Here is a 15,994-nt window from a genome sequence, read left to right as displayed (position 1 = left end):
CCCCAAATTCTCTGACATTCTTCTCACGGAAGTGGGATTTAGGACCTGTCCCCTTGAATCTGGGCATGCTTGTATCTGCTTCAACCAATACAGTACAGGGGAAGTAATGCTACGTAACTTTCAAGACAAGGTCAGAAAAGTCACGCAGTTTCTGTCTGGTCTTCTTTGGGACACGCTGGTAGAAGAGAGCCACCATGTAAAAAACCTGACTATCTTGAGACCATCATGCTGGAAAGACTACATGCAGACACTCTGACTGATGGCCAAAATCAACTGCCAGCCATGTGAATGAGCCATCTTGGACATGTAGCCCAACTGAGCTTTCAGATGACTGTAGCCCCATCTGACATCAGCCTCATGAGAAACCCGAAATGAGAATTATCCAGCTGAGCCATTCCCATAATCCTGACCCACAAAATCAGAAGCAAAGTAAACGATTACTTTAAGCCCCTAAATTCTGGGAATAATTTGCTATGCAACAACACTAACTGTAATAGGTATTTTTCTTTAACAGACAAGCTCTCCTCTTTATATTATTTAATAACAATATGGATTTTTTTTTTTTTTTTAGACAGGGTCTCACTCTGTTACCCAGGCCAAAGTGCAGGTATGTGATCATATAGCTCACTGTGGTCTTGAACTCCTGAGCTCAAGTGATTTTCCTGCTTCAACCTCCCCAGTAGCTGGGACTACAGGCATGTGCCACCAGGCCAGGCTAATTTTTTTATTTTTATTTTTTGTAGAGACAGAGTTTCACCGTGTTGTCCAGGCTGGGCTCAAGCAGTCCTCCGCCCTGGCCTCCCAAAGTGCTGGGATTACAGGCATGAGCCACCATGCCCGGCCTGCTGCTTTACTTCTCTTTTCTGCCTTAGAATTTCAGACAATTTTTAAAAAAATTCCAAACCACTAATTTCATAGGTCAAAAACTTAGGACCAGAGAAGTGAAATCACAGACCAAATCATTAACAGAATATAGATCAAATCACAGACCAAATTAGTAACAATACAGATCAAAATCCATGCTTCTTGATTCTCAATGTAGTGTTTCTTCTCTAACCTGAATTTCTTTGTATCTTCTTCTTCCTTTCTTTATTCTACTCATATTCCTTGTGGCAGAAGAGCAGCCAAAATGATATTAATCAATCACCCCTTTATGCCTTCCTCCAAAGAACCCAGATTTAAATTCACAGATTTAAACAGCATTTCTCAATTCTGCTTGTCTCTACCCCTACTGAGCAGGAAGAAATTTTGACATCCCACCAGCAGTAGCAGGTACCAGCCTCCTGGGGCAGTTAAGTATCACTAATACAAATTTGTTACCAAGTGTACTTTGTTAGCAGGGAAGCAGTGATAGTAGAAGTGCATTATCCAAGTATTAAGATTTTCACAGAGCTTCCGGCAAGGTAGATAGGAGGAATCCCATCATCATCTAGACTGAAAACTGCTATCGTCTGTCGACAGTAAAATCCAAAGATCTGCATGTCTAACAATTTTCTAACAAAGCTCTAACTAGGAGTTAGGAAGGCTGGTGTATTAGATAGGATCAGGAAGTAACCATGAAAGAAAAATTAGAAGACAACAAACCAAACATCACCAAATACATAGACGGCAGCAAAGAAAAACAAAATAGAGAGGACTGCATGAAGGTAGCATAACTTTGAAGTTAGGCAGCCATCTTCCCACAGCCCAGATTAGAACTAAAGTTGGATTTGTAGTTTTTTACTTATATTCATTTGTTTTCTATATACTAACTTCTGTAGCCTGGCCTCAAAGTGGGATTGCTAACAAAAGAGACTTAAAGTCAGTAAAATTACAGCTTAAAATGATTTGAAACAACTCAACTATCCACTAACAGGGTTCTGATGGCATAAACTGAGGTACATCCAACAACAGAATATTATACAGCTATAAAAAGAGGAAACTTTCTTTGTACTCATATGGGAAAAAAGCAAGGTTCATATTATACTACCCTATTGTGTAAGAAAAAGGGGATAGGAATAAATACATGCATTACTCATATGTGTATAATTAGACAATAAGAAATGAAGACTGGGCCATGAAAAAAATGTTTTTTCAAAAAAATGTTTTTGGATATTTACACATAAGTTCACTATCAACCTTACAGCCCAGTGAGAAACTTAAGATTATTACAATGTTTCTTCTTATTTAATTTTTGCTCTTTCCTAGCTTAAGGATGAACTGGACCATCTGAAGGAGAATATTTAGTTTTGGGTGGCACTATAGGGTCTGAGGATTGGTGTATCTGATGCTGATTGACTTCCAAAGTTTCCTGAGCTCAGAGAAGAGATGACTTTTTTTCCCCATATCTGAACTAAATGAGTAACTGCCACACTCACTTTTCTCTTCTCATAATAACGTATTACCTCTACTACCCCTAATCAATATTTATAATTTAAGCAAACACCTCATTGTCTTTTCATTAATGATTCCAAGTACTTACCTAGTTACTACGTCATGTGATTTAGGCCTCAGCTGTCATGTCCTTTCAATTGTGAGTGTAAATACTTGACAGTCACTGACCACCTATATGTAGTCTTTGCACAGTGCCTCTAGGGCACATTCAATTAGACACCTTGGAACTTAAAAAAAAATTTTTTTTTTTTTTTTTTTTTTGGGTAGAGATGAGATCTCGCTAAGTTGCCAGGGCTGATGTTGAACTCCTGGCCTCAAGCAATCCTCTGGACTCAGCCTCTTAAGGTGCTGGGATTACAGGCGTGAGCCACCGTGCCTGGCCCCTGGAACTACTTTTTAATGCCAGTACCCAAAGCGTAACTCTTTGAAACAAAAAATCATAAATCCCATGCTATTCCCTACAACCATTCATTTTCCAAGTTTTCCAGTTCTGAAATATAGCTTAGACTCTATTAATTCCACCCCTCAATAGTAACCATTTCCAACATGCAAACAAATAGAGAAAAAATTATTAGTCACCCATATCTCTCAGCTGCTGGGAAGAATGACTAAGTCAACTATAGTCATCATATTCTAAATAGCCAAATAAACAGAGTGAGAATCAGGACCAGAAATGTAAATAGAATACTCTCTTCCCTCAATTTCTACCCTTCTTATAGTCCTTCCCAATTACCTTCACCACCCTTTCCCTTCCTCTAGGGAAGGAGGCTGCAGGCAGCAGCTGGTTTGCTCACAGCTAGCTTTATTTGGTTTACATGGCAACAGAAATGCATAAAGTCAGGCAAAAAAGAGAGCTATTTGTTTATGATCGGCTCAAATTATGTTCATCCAGGTTAAAAGACTCTTAATAAAAAGGAATTGGGAGAAAGGAGAGGTGAAGAAGGATTTTCTAGTGAAAAGCTCAAAGAGACGAGTCTGGGGAATTGCTCACTGTGTGGTACTGTGCTTCTGGCTTCTGAATCCTGTTACCAGTGGCCCCGGTCCCAGATCTAGGAAACTGAATAATGGTTAAAATGTCATTATTTAAACATATTTCATCTGCCTACATCTTCAGATCTCAGAATAACATCACTGTTTCAACTTTCTAGTTTTTATAAACTAGTGCCAAGAGGCAATTACATGCAACTTCAGGAGTGAATACACCCAAACTCAGAAATATATCTCAGAAATACACCCAGAAACAGAGGGGAAGAAGGAATATTTATTTTTTTAATACACTCCACCCTTCTGCTATGAAATGAGTATCTCTTAAAAACTGTAGTTATGAAAGTCATTCATGTTCACTGTGGAAAACAATAATAAAAGAAGAGACAAAAATTAACCATTATCCCAATACTCAACTATTTCCACTGCTGACATTTTAGAATAAATCCTTCTTCAAAACAATGATATCATCTTATAACTTTTTTTATGTAAGTATTATGCCATATTTTTATATTTATAAAATCATTAAATATAGTAATTGAGGTATGAATTTTGAAGTCAGGCAGATAAAAGTGAGTCCCAGCTTTCCCACTCCCTATGTGATTTTAGACAAGTTATTTAACCTCTCTCAGTGCCCAAGTTACTTTATATGTAAAATGAAATAAGAAATGATTGTCTCACTGCTTATTCTAAGGATTAAATTATATATATATATATTTTTTAATTAAATTAAAATTTTTTTTTGACAGGGAGTCTCACTCTGTTGCCCAGGCTGGAGTGCAATGGTGCAGTCTCAGCTCACTGCAACCTCCACCTCCCGGGTTCGAGAGGTTCTCCTGCCTCAGCCTCCAGAGTAGCTAGGACTACAGGTGTGTGCTACCTCGCCTGGCTAATTTTTGTATTTTTAGTAGAGACGGGGTTTCATTATTTTGGCCAGGCTGGTCTTGAACTCCTGAGCTCGTGATCTGCCCGCCTTGGCCTCCCAAAGTGCTGGGATTACAGGCATGGAGCCACTGCGCCCGGCCAGGATTAAATAATAATGTACTTAGAACAAATCTGGTAAATAGTAAGCACTCAACAACATACGTTGCATCAATTTTACACTTCTACAATATATTATGTGGCTAGTAGTCCACTGAATAAATGTATCCTACTTTATTTAAAATCCTTTATTGTCAGATATTGTTGTTTATAAATTTATAATATTATAAATAACAATGCAATAAATGCTAAATCTAAATCTTTATGTCTGTGATTGTTTTTCATTAAAATAAATTCCTATAAGTAGAACTCTACGTCAAAAGAGATAACATGTTCTCTATTGCCAAAGTACCCGCCAGAAAAGCACCGATTTATATTTCTATCAGGGTGTATAAAAATGTTCGTCTTCTCACCCCTTCATCCGCACAGAGTTTTATACATTAAAAATATGCAAATCTTTTAATAATCTATGTTTTAGAATGAAAAAATATAGGATTCTAATAGAAAACCCATCAATTCAGAACTGCTGGAAGTTTCCCATATTTGGAGGTTAATTTTTATGTAAATAATGTATTGGTCTTGTGAATAATGGGTTTTATATCATATTTAGAAAACAATCTCTGATGGCTTCTTACAGTACCTTTTCAGTCTCATTTTTATTTATGCAAGCCTAAGGTATAGAAGTTGTTTATGATGACTAACGATTTGAAGTTCACCCTTCCAGACCTTTATCTATGAGTTCATAGACATGTTCATAACATAATTTTTAAAATACAAATATGGTCATACACCATCCTACTACAAAAGTGGTTTATTAATTTCCTTTTTTAAAAAATGTACCAGAGGCCGGGCGTGGTGGCTCACGCCTGTAATCCCAGCACTTTGGGAGGCCAAGGCGGGTGGATCACGAGGTCGGGAGATGGATACTATCCTGGCTAACACGGTGAAACCTCGTCTCTACTAAAAATTAGCCGGGCGTGGTGGTGGGCGCCTGTAGTCCCAGCTACTCAGGAGGCTGAGACAGGAGAATGGCGTGAACCCAGGAGGCGGAGCTTGCAGTGAGCTGGGATGGCGACACTGCACTCCAGCCTGGACGACAGAGTGAGACTCCGTCTCAAAAAAAAAAAAAAAAAATGTACCAGAGTATCCTGGAAACCTTTCCATGTCCAAATATATAGATCTGTATCATTCTTTTGAAAGACTGGAAAATATTTCATTGCATGAGTGTACTACATATGGTTCATTTAATCATTCTTTTGTTACTTTATTGTTTCCATTTTTCACTATTACAAACAGAACAGCTTTTGGGCAGGGTGCAGCGGCTCACGCCTAAAATCCCAGTACTTTGGGAGGCCAAGGTGAGAGGATCACTAGAGGCCAGGAATTTGAAACCAGCCCAACATAGTGAAAACCCACTTGTACAAAGAAAATAAATTAGCCAAGCACGCTGGTGCATTCCTGTAGTCCCAGCTACTCAGGAGGCTGAGGCAGGAGGATTCCTTGAGCCCAGGAGGTGAGCTCAAGCTCACCTATGATCGTGCCTCTGTACTCCAGCCTCGGCAACAACAGAGTGAGACCTCATCTGTCTTTTAAAAAATTAAATTAAATTTTTAAAAAAGGTTTTCTATTCCCAAGGTTCCAAACATCCAAGTAAAAAACCCTATACTCTGTTGATCCTACATGCTATATTTATACTTATTCAGAACTATTCTCACTAAATTTCCTTGTTTGCTTTGCCCCTTCTCCAATTTATTAACATTATAACAGATTCTATCCCCATCTTCCAAGATGGTACAGAACAACAATAAAAGTGGATAAAGAAATTTATACCTTATACGTCTTATCTGCTCTTCACAAAAACCACACAAAGTAGGTGTCATCCTATTCATTTTACAAATGAAGAAACTGAAGACAAAGAAATTAGGCAACTTGCCAAAGGCTACTCAGCCTAGCAAAGGCTAAAACTAAGATTTTAACCTGATTCACAGATTCCAAAGCCCCATTCCCCTCTCACAAAATTGCCTTCATTCCTGCCTTGGTGTAATATCACATCCATATTCATGATTAACATAATCTCTACATCATTATCTAAGAAATCAATCTACAGACATTAATAGACCAGGCATGGTGGCTCATGGCTCATGCCTGTAATCCCAGCATTTTGGGAGGCCAAGGTAGAGGACTGCCTGAGCTCAGGAGTTTGAGACCAGTCTGGGCGACATAGGCAGACCTTATTTGTACAAAAAATAAAAAAAAATTAGCCAGGCATGGTGGCACTTGCCCTGTAGTCCTAGCTCCTTGAGAGGCTGAGGTGGGAAGATTGCTTGAGCCCAGGAGGTGGAGGCTACAGTGAGCTGTGATCGCGCCACTGTACTCCAGCCCGAGCAACAGAATGAGACCCTATCTCAAACAAAACAAAATAAAAAACATTAATAGCAGTTCCAGGACCAGATCCTGCAAGGTATTCTCTCATTGCTTTGGTTGCATTTGGTTGTAATTCTTTTACTGCATTCTCTCATTTGGTTGACCATAAGCCTTTGGTAATCACTGGAACCCAATCCTCTGGCCTAGCTTTTCAAAGGGTGTCCCAGGCAGATATTTCATTTTAAAAAATTTAAAATCCACATTCAAGTCAGTTTGAGAACACTATATTAGAGGCATAATAAAAGATTCCATGTATTTAAGAAAATAAAGGAGAAAAACAAATTATCTAGGCAAAACAGGAGAATAAACATTCAAAGCTTAAATACTGATTAGGGATGTCATAAAATAGAAGAAAAATGTTAGGTATGCAGCAATAGCATTAGAAAGCCAAATCAGGCTGGGCATGGTGGCTCATGCCTGTAATCCCAACACTTTGGGAGGCCGAGACGGGTGGCTCATTTGAGGTCAGGAGTTCAAGAGCAGCCTGGCCAACATGGTGAAACCCTATCTCTACTAAAAATACAAAAATTAGTTGGGTGGTAGTGGCACACGCCTGTAATCCCAGCTACTTGGGAGGCTGAGGCAGGAGAATCACTTGAGCCTGGGAGGTGGAGGTTGCGGTGAGCTGAGATTGTGCCACTGCACACCAGTCTGGGCAACAGAGTGAGACCCTGTCTCACAAAAAAAACAAAAAACAACAACAAAAAAAGGGCGCAGTGGCTCAAGCCTGTAATCCCAGCGCTTTGGGAGGCTGAGACAGGTGGATCACAAGGTCAGGAGTTCAAGACCAGCCTGGTCAGCATGGCAAAACCCCATCTCAATTAAAAGTACAAAAATTAGCCGGGCGTGGTGGCCCATGCCTGTAATCCCAGCTACTTGGGAGGCTGAGACAGGCAAATCACTTGAACCCGAGAGGCAGAGGTTGCAGTGAGCGAAGATTGTGCCACTGCACTCCAGCCTGGGCAACAGAGTAAGACTCTCTCTCAAAACAAACAAACAAACAAAGCCAAATCAGGAAATGCAGCATAACTAGCCAAAGGGAATAATGTGATAGTTTCCCATTACTTTTAAAATAGTTTTCTCAGCTGGGCATGGTGCCTCATGCCTGCAATCCCAGCCCTTTGGGAGGCAGACATAGGAAGATCACTTGAGGCCAGGAGTTCAAAATCAGGCTAATCCACACAGTGAGACTTCGTCTCTACAAAAGAAAAATTAAAAAATTAGCTGGGTGTGGTGGTGCATACCTGTAGTACCAGCTACTGGGGAGGCTGAGTCAGGAGGATCGCTTGAGCCTGGGAGTTTGAGGCTGCAGTGAGTAATGATCACATCACTGCACTACAGCCTGGGTGACAGAGTAAGACTCAGTCTGAAAAAAAATAATAATAATAAATTAAAATATTAAAATATCTTTCTTCTTGGCCAGGTACGGTGGCTCACGCCTGTAATCTCAGCACTTTGGGAGGCCAAGGTGGGTGGATCACCGGGTCAGAAGTTCAAGAACAGCCTGGCCAAGATGGTAAAACCTCGTCTCTACAAAAAATACAAAAATTAGCCAGGCAAGGTGGCGGGCACCTATAATCCCAGCTACTCAGGAGGCTGAGGCAGAGAATTGCTTGAACCTGGGAGGCAGAGGTTGCAGTAAGCCAAGATCGCGCCACTGCACTCCAGCCTGGGTGACAGAGCTAGACTCCGTCTCAGATATATATTTTCTTCTTTATCACTTCCTAGATGTTTTAGTCTGCTTGACCTGCTATAATAAAATACCACAGACTAGGTGGATTAACCAACAGACATTTATTCCTCACAGTTCTAGAGGCTGGGAAGGCCAAGATCAACGTGCAACAAATCTGGTTCTCAGCAAGGTCCCACTTCTTGGCTTGCAGACAACTAGCCATTGTTTTGCTGTATCCTCATATGGTGGAGAGGGGAAGCTCTGGTGTTTCCTCCTTTTCTTATAAGGGTACTAATCCCATCATGGAGACTCCACACTTATGACCTCATTTAAACCTAACTACCTCCCAAAGGCCCCACCTCCTAATACCATCACACTGGGAATTAGGGCTTCAACATATGAATTTGGGAGGAACACAGACATTCAGTCCATAGCAGTAACATATGTTAATATATATGATAAAGTGATCGAGAAATAGTAAAGAATCGTATCTTCTAGCTGGTCATCCTGCTTCCACTCTTGCCACTCTCTAAACCACCTTCCTCTACACAACACCATAAACTCCCCAGCTTACAGCCTTTCAATGGCTTATCATGGCACTTAGAATAAAGTCCAAAGCATAGTTGCCTTGACCCTCAGGGTCCTACATGATCCAGTCCTTGCCTCTCTGCAATCTCCTTTTAGGACAGACTCTCTTTCTCACTATGCTCTAGCTACCCTCGGTTTCTCTCCATTCTTCTAACATCCCTTGTATCTTGAGGCTTTGCACTGCAGTTCATTCTGCTTGTAATTATTTCCCCTATTCTTCATATGGTGAGTTTCTTCTTAGCCTTTAAGTTTCACTTTAAAATTCTGATATACTGGTGTCAAGCAAGCAATCCTGGCCCTCCTAAAGAATAGGAGTTCAAGTAGTTGAATGTTCCCCTGCCATTAAAACTAGCAGTTTTCATAGGAGGATTTTTGTTTGTTTGTTTGTTTGTTTTGAGTTGGCGTCTCACTCTTTCACCCAGGCTGGAGTGTAATGGCATGATCTCAGCTCACTGCAACCTCTGCCTCCTGGTTCAAGCGATTCTTCTGCCTCTGCCTCCCAAGTAGCTGGGATTATAGGCGCCTGCCACCACGCCCGGCTAATTTTTTTATTTTTAGCAGAGATGGGGTTTTACCATGTTGGCCAGGCTGGTCTCGAACTCCTGACCTCAGGTGATCCACTCACCTCAGCCTCTCAAAGTGCTGGGATTACAGGTGTAAGCCACTGTGCCCAGCCAGGAGTTTTTTGTTTTTTATGTGATACAAAAATATATGGACAGCATTTTGCAACACATATTAAAAGTCTTAAGGAGAAATTTATTCTAAGAAAATGATCACAGATGTATACTAATATTTTTGTATACAAATGTTCATCACACTATTATTTCGATTAATGAAAAAAAGGAAGAAAATCTTAGACATTCAGCCAAGTGGAACACATTATGGAGTCATTTAAAAATCACATTTAAAAAACTTAAGCCAGGCGAGGTGGCTCACACCTGTAATCCCAGCACTTTGTGAGGCCAAGATGGGCGGATCACATTAAGTCAAGAGTTTGAGGCCAACCTAGCCAACATGGTGAAATCCCGCCTCTACTAAAAATACAAAATTAGCCAGGCGTAGTGGCACGTGCCTGTAGTCCCAGCTATTCGGGAGGCTGAGGCGGGAGAATCGCTTGAACCCAGGAGGTGGAGGTTGCACAACTACACTCCAGCCTGGGCAACAGAGTAAAAGTCAGTCTCAAAAAAAAAAAGAAAAAGAAAAAACAAAACAAAATAAAACAAACCCAGAACATTCATGAACTGGAGGGCAACTTCAACTGGTCTAATTACATATAAATGGAATCTCCAAAGGAAAGGTAAGAAAAGGGGTATAGAAAATAGAATAATGGCTGAAAGTTTTCTAAATTTCATGAAAACTACAAACCCATTAATCCAAAAGCCTCAACAAACCCCAAGCACAAAGGTATAAACAAAACTACACCAAGGAACATCACAATCAAATTGCTCAAATCTAGTGATAAAGAAAACTTAAAAGCATCGAGAGGGGAAAAAACCCCACATTATGTGCAAATGAAAAAAAGTATGGTTAACAACAGACTTCTCATAGGAAACCATGCAAGTGACAATAAAGCAATGAAACATCTTTAAAAACCGAAACGAAAAAACCCTGTTAACCTAATATTGTATACCCAGTAAAAATATCCTTCAAAAACAAAGGCAAAATACAGACTTTTCCAGATGTATAAAAGCTGGAAAAAAGCATCACTACCAGGCTTGCAGTACAAGAAACATTAAAGGAAGTCCCTCAGGCACAAGGAAAATTATACCACATGGAAAGACAGATCTACACAAAAGAATGAAAAGTACCAAAAATGGTAAATACAAACATTTTTTACAATTATTTAGATATCCTTGAAGGTTTTTATAAAAAAATAAATAAAAAGGTACTGTGGAGTTATGTGCAGAACTAAAATGTATGACAATAATAATGTGAAGGCTGAGTGGAAAGAAATGGAAGTACACTATCATAAGATTGACATACTATATGTGAAGTGCTGTAATATCACATGAAGGAGGTGTCTGATAAGTTAAAGATGTACACCATTTACACCACAAACCCTAAAACAATTACAAAAAAGGAAACAGAGTTAGAAGTAATAAGCCAGGCCGGGCACAGTGGCTCATGCCTGTAATCCCAGCACTTTGGGAGGCTGAGGCAGGTGGATCACGAGGTCAGGAGATTGAGACCATCCTGGCTAACACGGTGAAACCCCGTCTCTACTAAAAACACAAAAAATTAGCCGGGCGTGGTGGCAGGCGCCTGTAGTCCCAGCTACTTGGGAGGCTGAGGCAGGAGAATGGCGTGAACCCGGGAGGCAGAGCTTGCAATGAGCCAAGATCGCGCCACTGCACTCCAGTCTGGGTGACAGAGCAAGACTCCATCTCAAAACAAAAATAAAAAGTAATAAGCCAATATGGAGGTAAAACTGAATGATTACAATATGCTTAATTAATCCAAAAGAAACAGAAGAAGAAAACGAGAACAAAGAAGAGGTGGGAAAAATAGAAAACAAACAGCAAGATGGCAGATTTACACACATCCATATGAATAATCACATCAAATGTAAATGGTCTAAACATCCCAATTAAAAGGCAGAGATTGTCAGACTACATAAAAGCAAGACCTATCTATATGCTGCCTATAAGACATCTACTTTACATATAAAGATAAAATCATTCTGAAAGAAAAAGAATGGAAAAAGATATACTATGCTAATATTAATCAAAAGAAAGCTGGGCAGGGCACGGTGGCTCATGCCTGTAATCCCAGCACTTTGGGACACCAAGGCGGGTGGATCATCAAAGGTCAGGAGTTCAAGACCATCCTGGCCAACATCTACAAAAATCTACAAAATCTACGAAATCTACAAAAATACAAAAATTAGCCAGGCACAATGGCGGGTGCCTGTAATCCCAGCTACTCGAGAGTCTGAGGCAGGAGAATCTCTTGAACCTGGGAGGCAGAGGTTGCAGTGGGCTGAGATCTCGCCATTGCACTCCAACCTGGGCGAAAGAGTGAGACTCTGTCAAAAAAAAAAAAAAAAAGCTAAAAGGGCCATATTAATATCAAGTAAAGTATATTTCAGAACAAAGAATATCACCAGGACTAAAGGATATCATTTCATAATCATAAAGAAGTCAATTCATCAAGAGGACATAATCCTAAATGTTATGTATCTGATAACTAAGTTTCAAATACATGAAGCAAACACTGACAAAACTGCCAAAAGGAATAGACAAACCTACAATTCTAACTACAAATTTCAATACCTTTCTCTTATTAATTGATAGGACAAATAGAAAAAGCAGGAAAGATACAGAAGACTTCAACAACACTAACAACCAACTTGACCTAATTGACATTTATAGAACACTCAACCCAACAAGAGCAGAAAACATATTCTTTTTGAGGGTACACAGAACATTTAACAATATAAAATATATTGTGGGCCATAAAACGAATTTAAATAAATTTAAAAGAATTCAAGTCATACAAAGTATGTTCTCTGAACACAATGAAATTAAATTAAAAAACAGAAACATGTCTGGAAAATCCCTCAAATATTTTGAAATTATATACAATACTTCCATATTACCCAGGAGTAAAAGGAACAAGAGAATTTAAAAATATTTTAAACAGACTAAAAACACAGCAAATCAAAAATGCACCTAAAGCAGCACTTAGAGGGAAATTTATAGTACAAAATACCTCTATTAGAAAAGAAGAAAAGTCTCAGATAAAAAACCTCAGTTTCCACCTTAAGAAACTAGAAAAAGAATCAACAAACCATAAGCAAACAGAAGATTTTTTTCCACAGCAGAAATTTTAAAATAAAAAAGAGAAATGCAATAGAGAAAATCAATGGAACCAAAGGGTGTTCTTTGAGAAGATCAATGAACTACATAAACATTTAGTCAGACCGATCAGGAGAAAAAGAGAGAAGATCCAAAGGAATAATATCAAGAATGACAGAGGTAACCCTCACTAGAATTCTACAATTTTAAAATAAAAATAAGAAAATAGGCCAGGCATGGTGGCTCACACCTGTAATCCCAGCATTTTGGGAGGCTGAAGCAGGTGGATCACTTGAGCTCAAGCTCAGGAGTTTGAGATCAGCCCGAGCAACCTGGCAAAACCCCACCCCTAAAAAAATACGAAATTAGCCTGGCATGGTGATGCACGCCTATAGCCCCAGCTACTCGGGAGGGTGAAGTGGGAGGATGGCTTGAGCCCAGGAGGCAGAGGCTGCAGTGAGCAGAGATCATGCCACTGCATGCCAGCCTGGGCAACAGAGTGAGACCCTGTCTCAAAAAAAAGAAAAAGAAAAAAGAAAAATTATGAACAGCTTTTTGCTAAGACATTCAACAAATACTTTGAAAGGCACAAAGGTCATTCAAGAGTAAATCTAAATAGCTCTATAAATATAGAATATATAGAAATATTTATTAAAGATATTAAATTTGTGGTTTATAAAACCTTACCTGGCTGGGCGCAGTGCGCCTGTAATCCCAGCACTTTGGGAGACCAAGGCGGGCAGATCACCTGAGGTCAGGAGTTCAAGACCAGCCTGGCCAACATGGCAAAACCACGCCTCTACTAAAAATACAAAAATTAGCCAGACATGGTGGCAGGCACCTGTAATCCCAGCTACTCAGGAGGCTGAGACAGGAGAATCGCTTGAACCCAGGAGGAAGAGGTTGCAGTGAGCCAAGATCACGCCACTGGACTCCAGCCTGGGTAACAGGGCAAACAAACAAACAAACAAACAAAAAACCTTACCTTCCTATACACACACACACACACACACAAAACCTGGCCCAGAAGGCTTACTTGGTGAATTCCAAATATTTAAAGAAGAACTAGCCTGTAATCCCAGCACTTTGGGGGGCCAAGGCAGGTGGATCACCTGAGGTCAGGAGTTTGAGACCAGCCTGGCCAACATGGCGAAACCCCATCTCTACTAAAAATACAAAAATTAGGTGGGCATGGTGGCATGTGCCTATAATCCCAGCTACTAGCAGAGCTGAGGCAGGAGGATCGCTTGAACCTGGGAGGTGGAGGTTAAGGTGAGCCGAGATCGTGCCACTGCACTCCAGCCTGGGCAACAGAGTGAGACTCCGTCTGAAAAAAAAAACAAAAACAAAACCAAGACCAAAAAAAAAAAAAAAAAAAAACAAAGAAAGAATACAAATTCCATACAAACGCTCCCAGAAAACTGAAGGAGAAATACTTTCTAACCCATCCTACAAGGCTTGCATTACCCATATACCAAAACCATAGAAAGACATAGTAAGAGAAGAAAACCACAGACTAATGTTTCTCACTAACACAGATGTAAAAGTTCTTAACAAATTTTTAGACAATCTATTCCAGCAATATATGAAAAGAATAATATCACAACCAAGTGGGGTTTATCTCATAATGCAAGATTGGTCTGGCATATGAAAATCAATCAATATAACTTACTATATCAACAAACTAAAAAAGAAAAACCATACAGTCATCTCAATAGGTGCAGAAAAAGTATTTCCAAAATCCACCATCCATTCCTGATAAAAATTGTTGGAAAACTAAGACTAGAACAGAACGCTTTTACTTGATACAGAACATCTACAACAAATTACAGTTAACATTATACGTAAGGATGAAAAACTGAATGCTTTCTTCTTAACATTGAGAACAAGAATCTTCTGTGTATTTTTATTTAACACTGTATGGCAAGTTCTAATCAGTGCAATAAAAAAAGGAAATAAAAGGAATCAAATTGGAAAGAAAAAAGTAAAATTGTCTTTACAGGTGAAACAATTATGTATGTAGAAAACCTATGGAATTTACAAAAAAAACTGTACTAAAGCTAATATGAGTCTAGCTTGGTTGTAGGATTCAAGGTTAAGATACAGACATTGTGTTTTACAAATGTGCATCAACTGATGACTGGATAAACAAAATGTATATCCATACAATGTAACATTACTTGGCAATAAAAAGGAATGAAGTAATGATATGTGCTAAGTCAAAGAAGCCAGACACAAAAGATCATACATTGTATGATTCCATTTATATGAAAGTCCAGAATCAGCAAATCGAGAGACAGAAAGTAGGTTAGTGGTTGCCAGGGGCTGGGGGGAGGAAAATACCACCACTAATGGGTAGGGGAATTTATTTAGAGGATGGCAAAAATGTTCTGGAATCAGATGATGCTGATGGTTGTACAACCTTGTGAATATACTAAAAACCACTGAACTTCAAAAAGGAAGATTTTATGGCATATTATTTATATCTCAATTTTTTTAAAAACTGTGATAAGGCCAGACGTGGTGGCTCCCGCCTGTAATCCCAAGACTTTGGGATGGGCGGTGGATCACTTGAGGTCAGGAGTTCGAGACCAACCTGGCTAACATGGTGAAACCGCATCTCTACTAAAAATACAAAAATTAGCTATGCATGGTGACATGCACCTGTAATCCCAGCTACTTAGGAGGCTGACACAGGAGAATCGCTTGAACCCAGGAGGCAGAGGTTGCAGTAGCCGAGACGTGCCATTGCACTGCAGCCTAGGTGACAGAAGAAGACTCTATCTCAAACAAACAAACAAACAGTGATAAAAAGACACTGTGCCAAACAGACTGGTAGAAAATATTTACAAAATATATTATGTGGCAATGTATTTATATATTTAGAACATATAAAGAACACTTACAACAAAAAGACAAACAACCCAATTAAAAATTAGGCAAAAAGACACCCACACTTTTACAAAGATAAATAAAAATAAAAGCACATGGATTTATCATCAGACATTATGGAATTGCAAATTAAACACAAAAACCACTACACACCCATTAGAACGACTAAAATGTGGAGAAATGGGAATTCTCACATACTATTGTCATGAATATAAAACAATACAACCAATTTAAAAACCAGTTTGCAGTTTTTAATAAAAGCTAAACATAAATCTGCCATAAG

The 15,994-nt window shown here is 39.4% G+C and overlaps 1 protein-coding gene across 6 annotated transcripts in view; it reads right to left on the bottom strand.

The window, feature by feature from the left end:
• The window catches only part of AHCYL2 (adenosylhomocysteinase like 2), a 205,182-nt gene that overhangs the window by 94,269 nt on the left and 94,919 nt on the right, over nucleotides 1-15,994 (bottom strand). For 2 of the 6 annotated variants that reach the window (XM_047420088.1, XM_047420087.1), the window contains one exon: nucleotides 3,365-3,430. The exons of the other annotated variants lie outside the window; for them this stretch is intronic. Coding sequence is in view for 1 of the 2 variants with exons in the window: in XM_047420087.1 (XP_047276043.1) it covers nucleotides 3,365-3,430 (66 nt within the window). In the remaining variant the exon portion in view is untranslated. The remainder of the gene's footprint in view (nucleotides 1-3,364; nucleotides 3,431-15,994) is intronic. 6 annotated transcript variants of the gene reach the window in all.

This window comes from Homo sapiens, chromosome 7 (assembly GCF_000001405.40).
Source record: "Homo sapiens chromosome 7, GRCh38.p14 Primary Assembly".
In the NCBI taxonomy this organism is placed as follows: Eukaryota; Metazoa; Chordata; class Mammalia; order Primates; family Hominidae; genus Homo; species Homo sapiens.
This window is presented reverse-complemented; position numbering and strand designations above follow the sequence as displayed.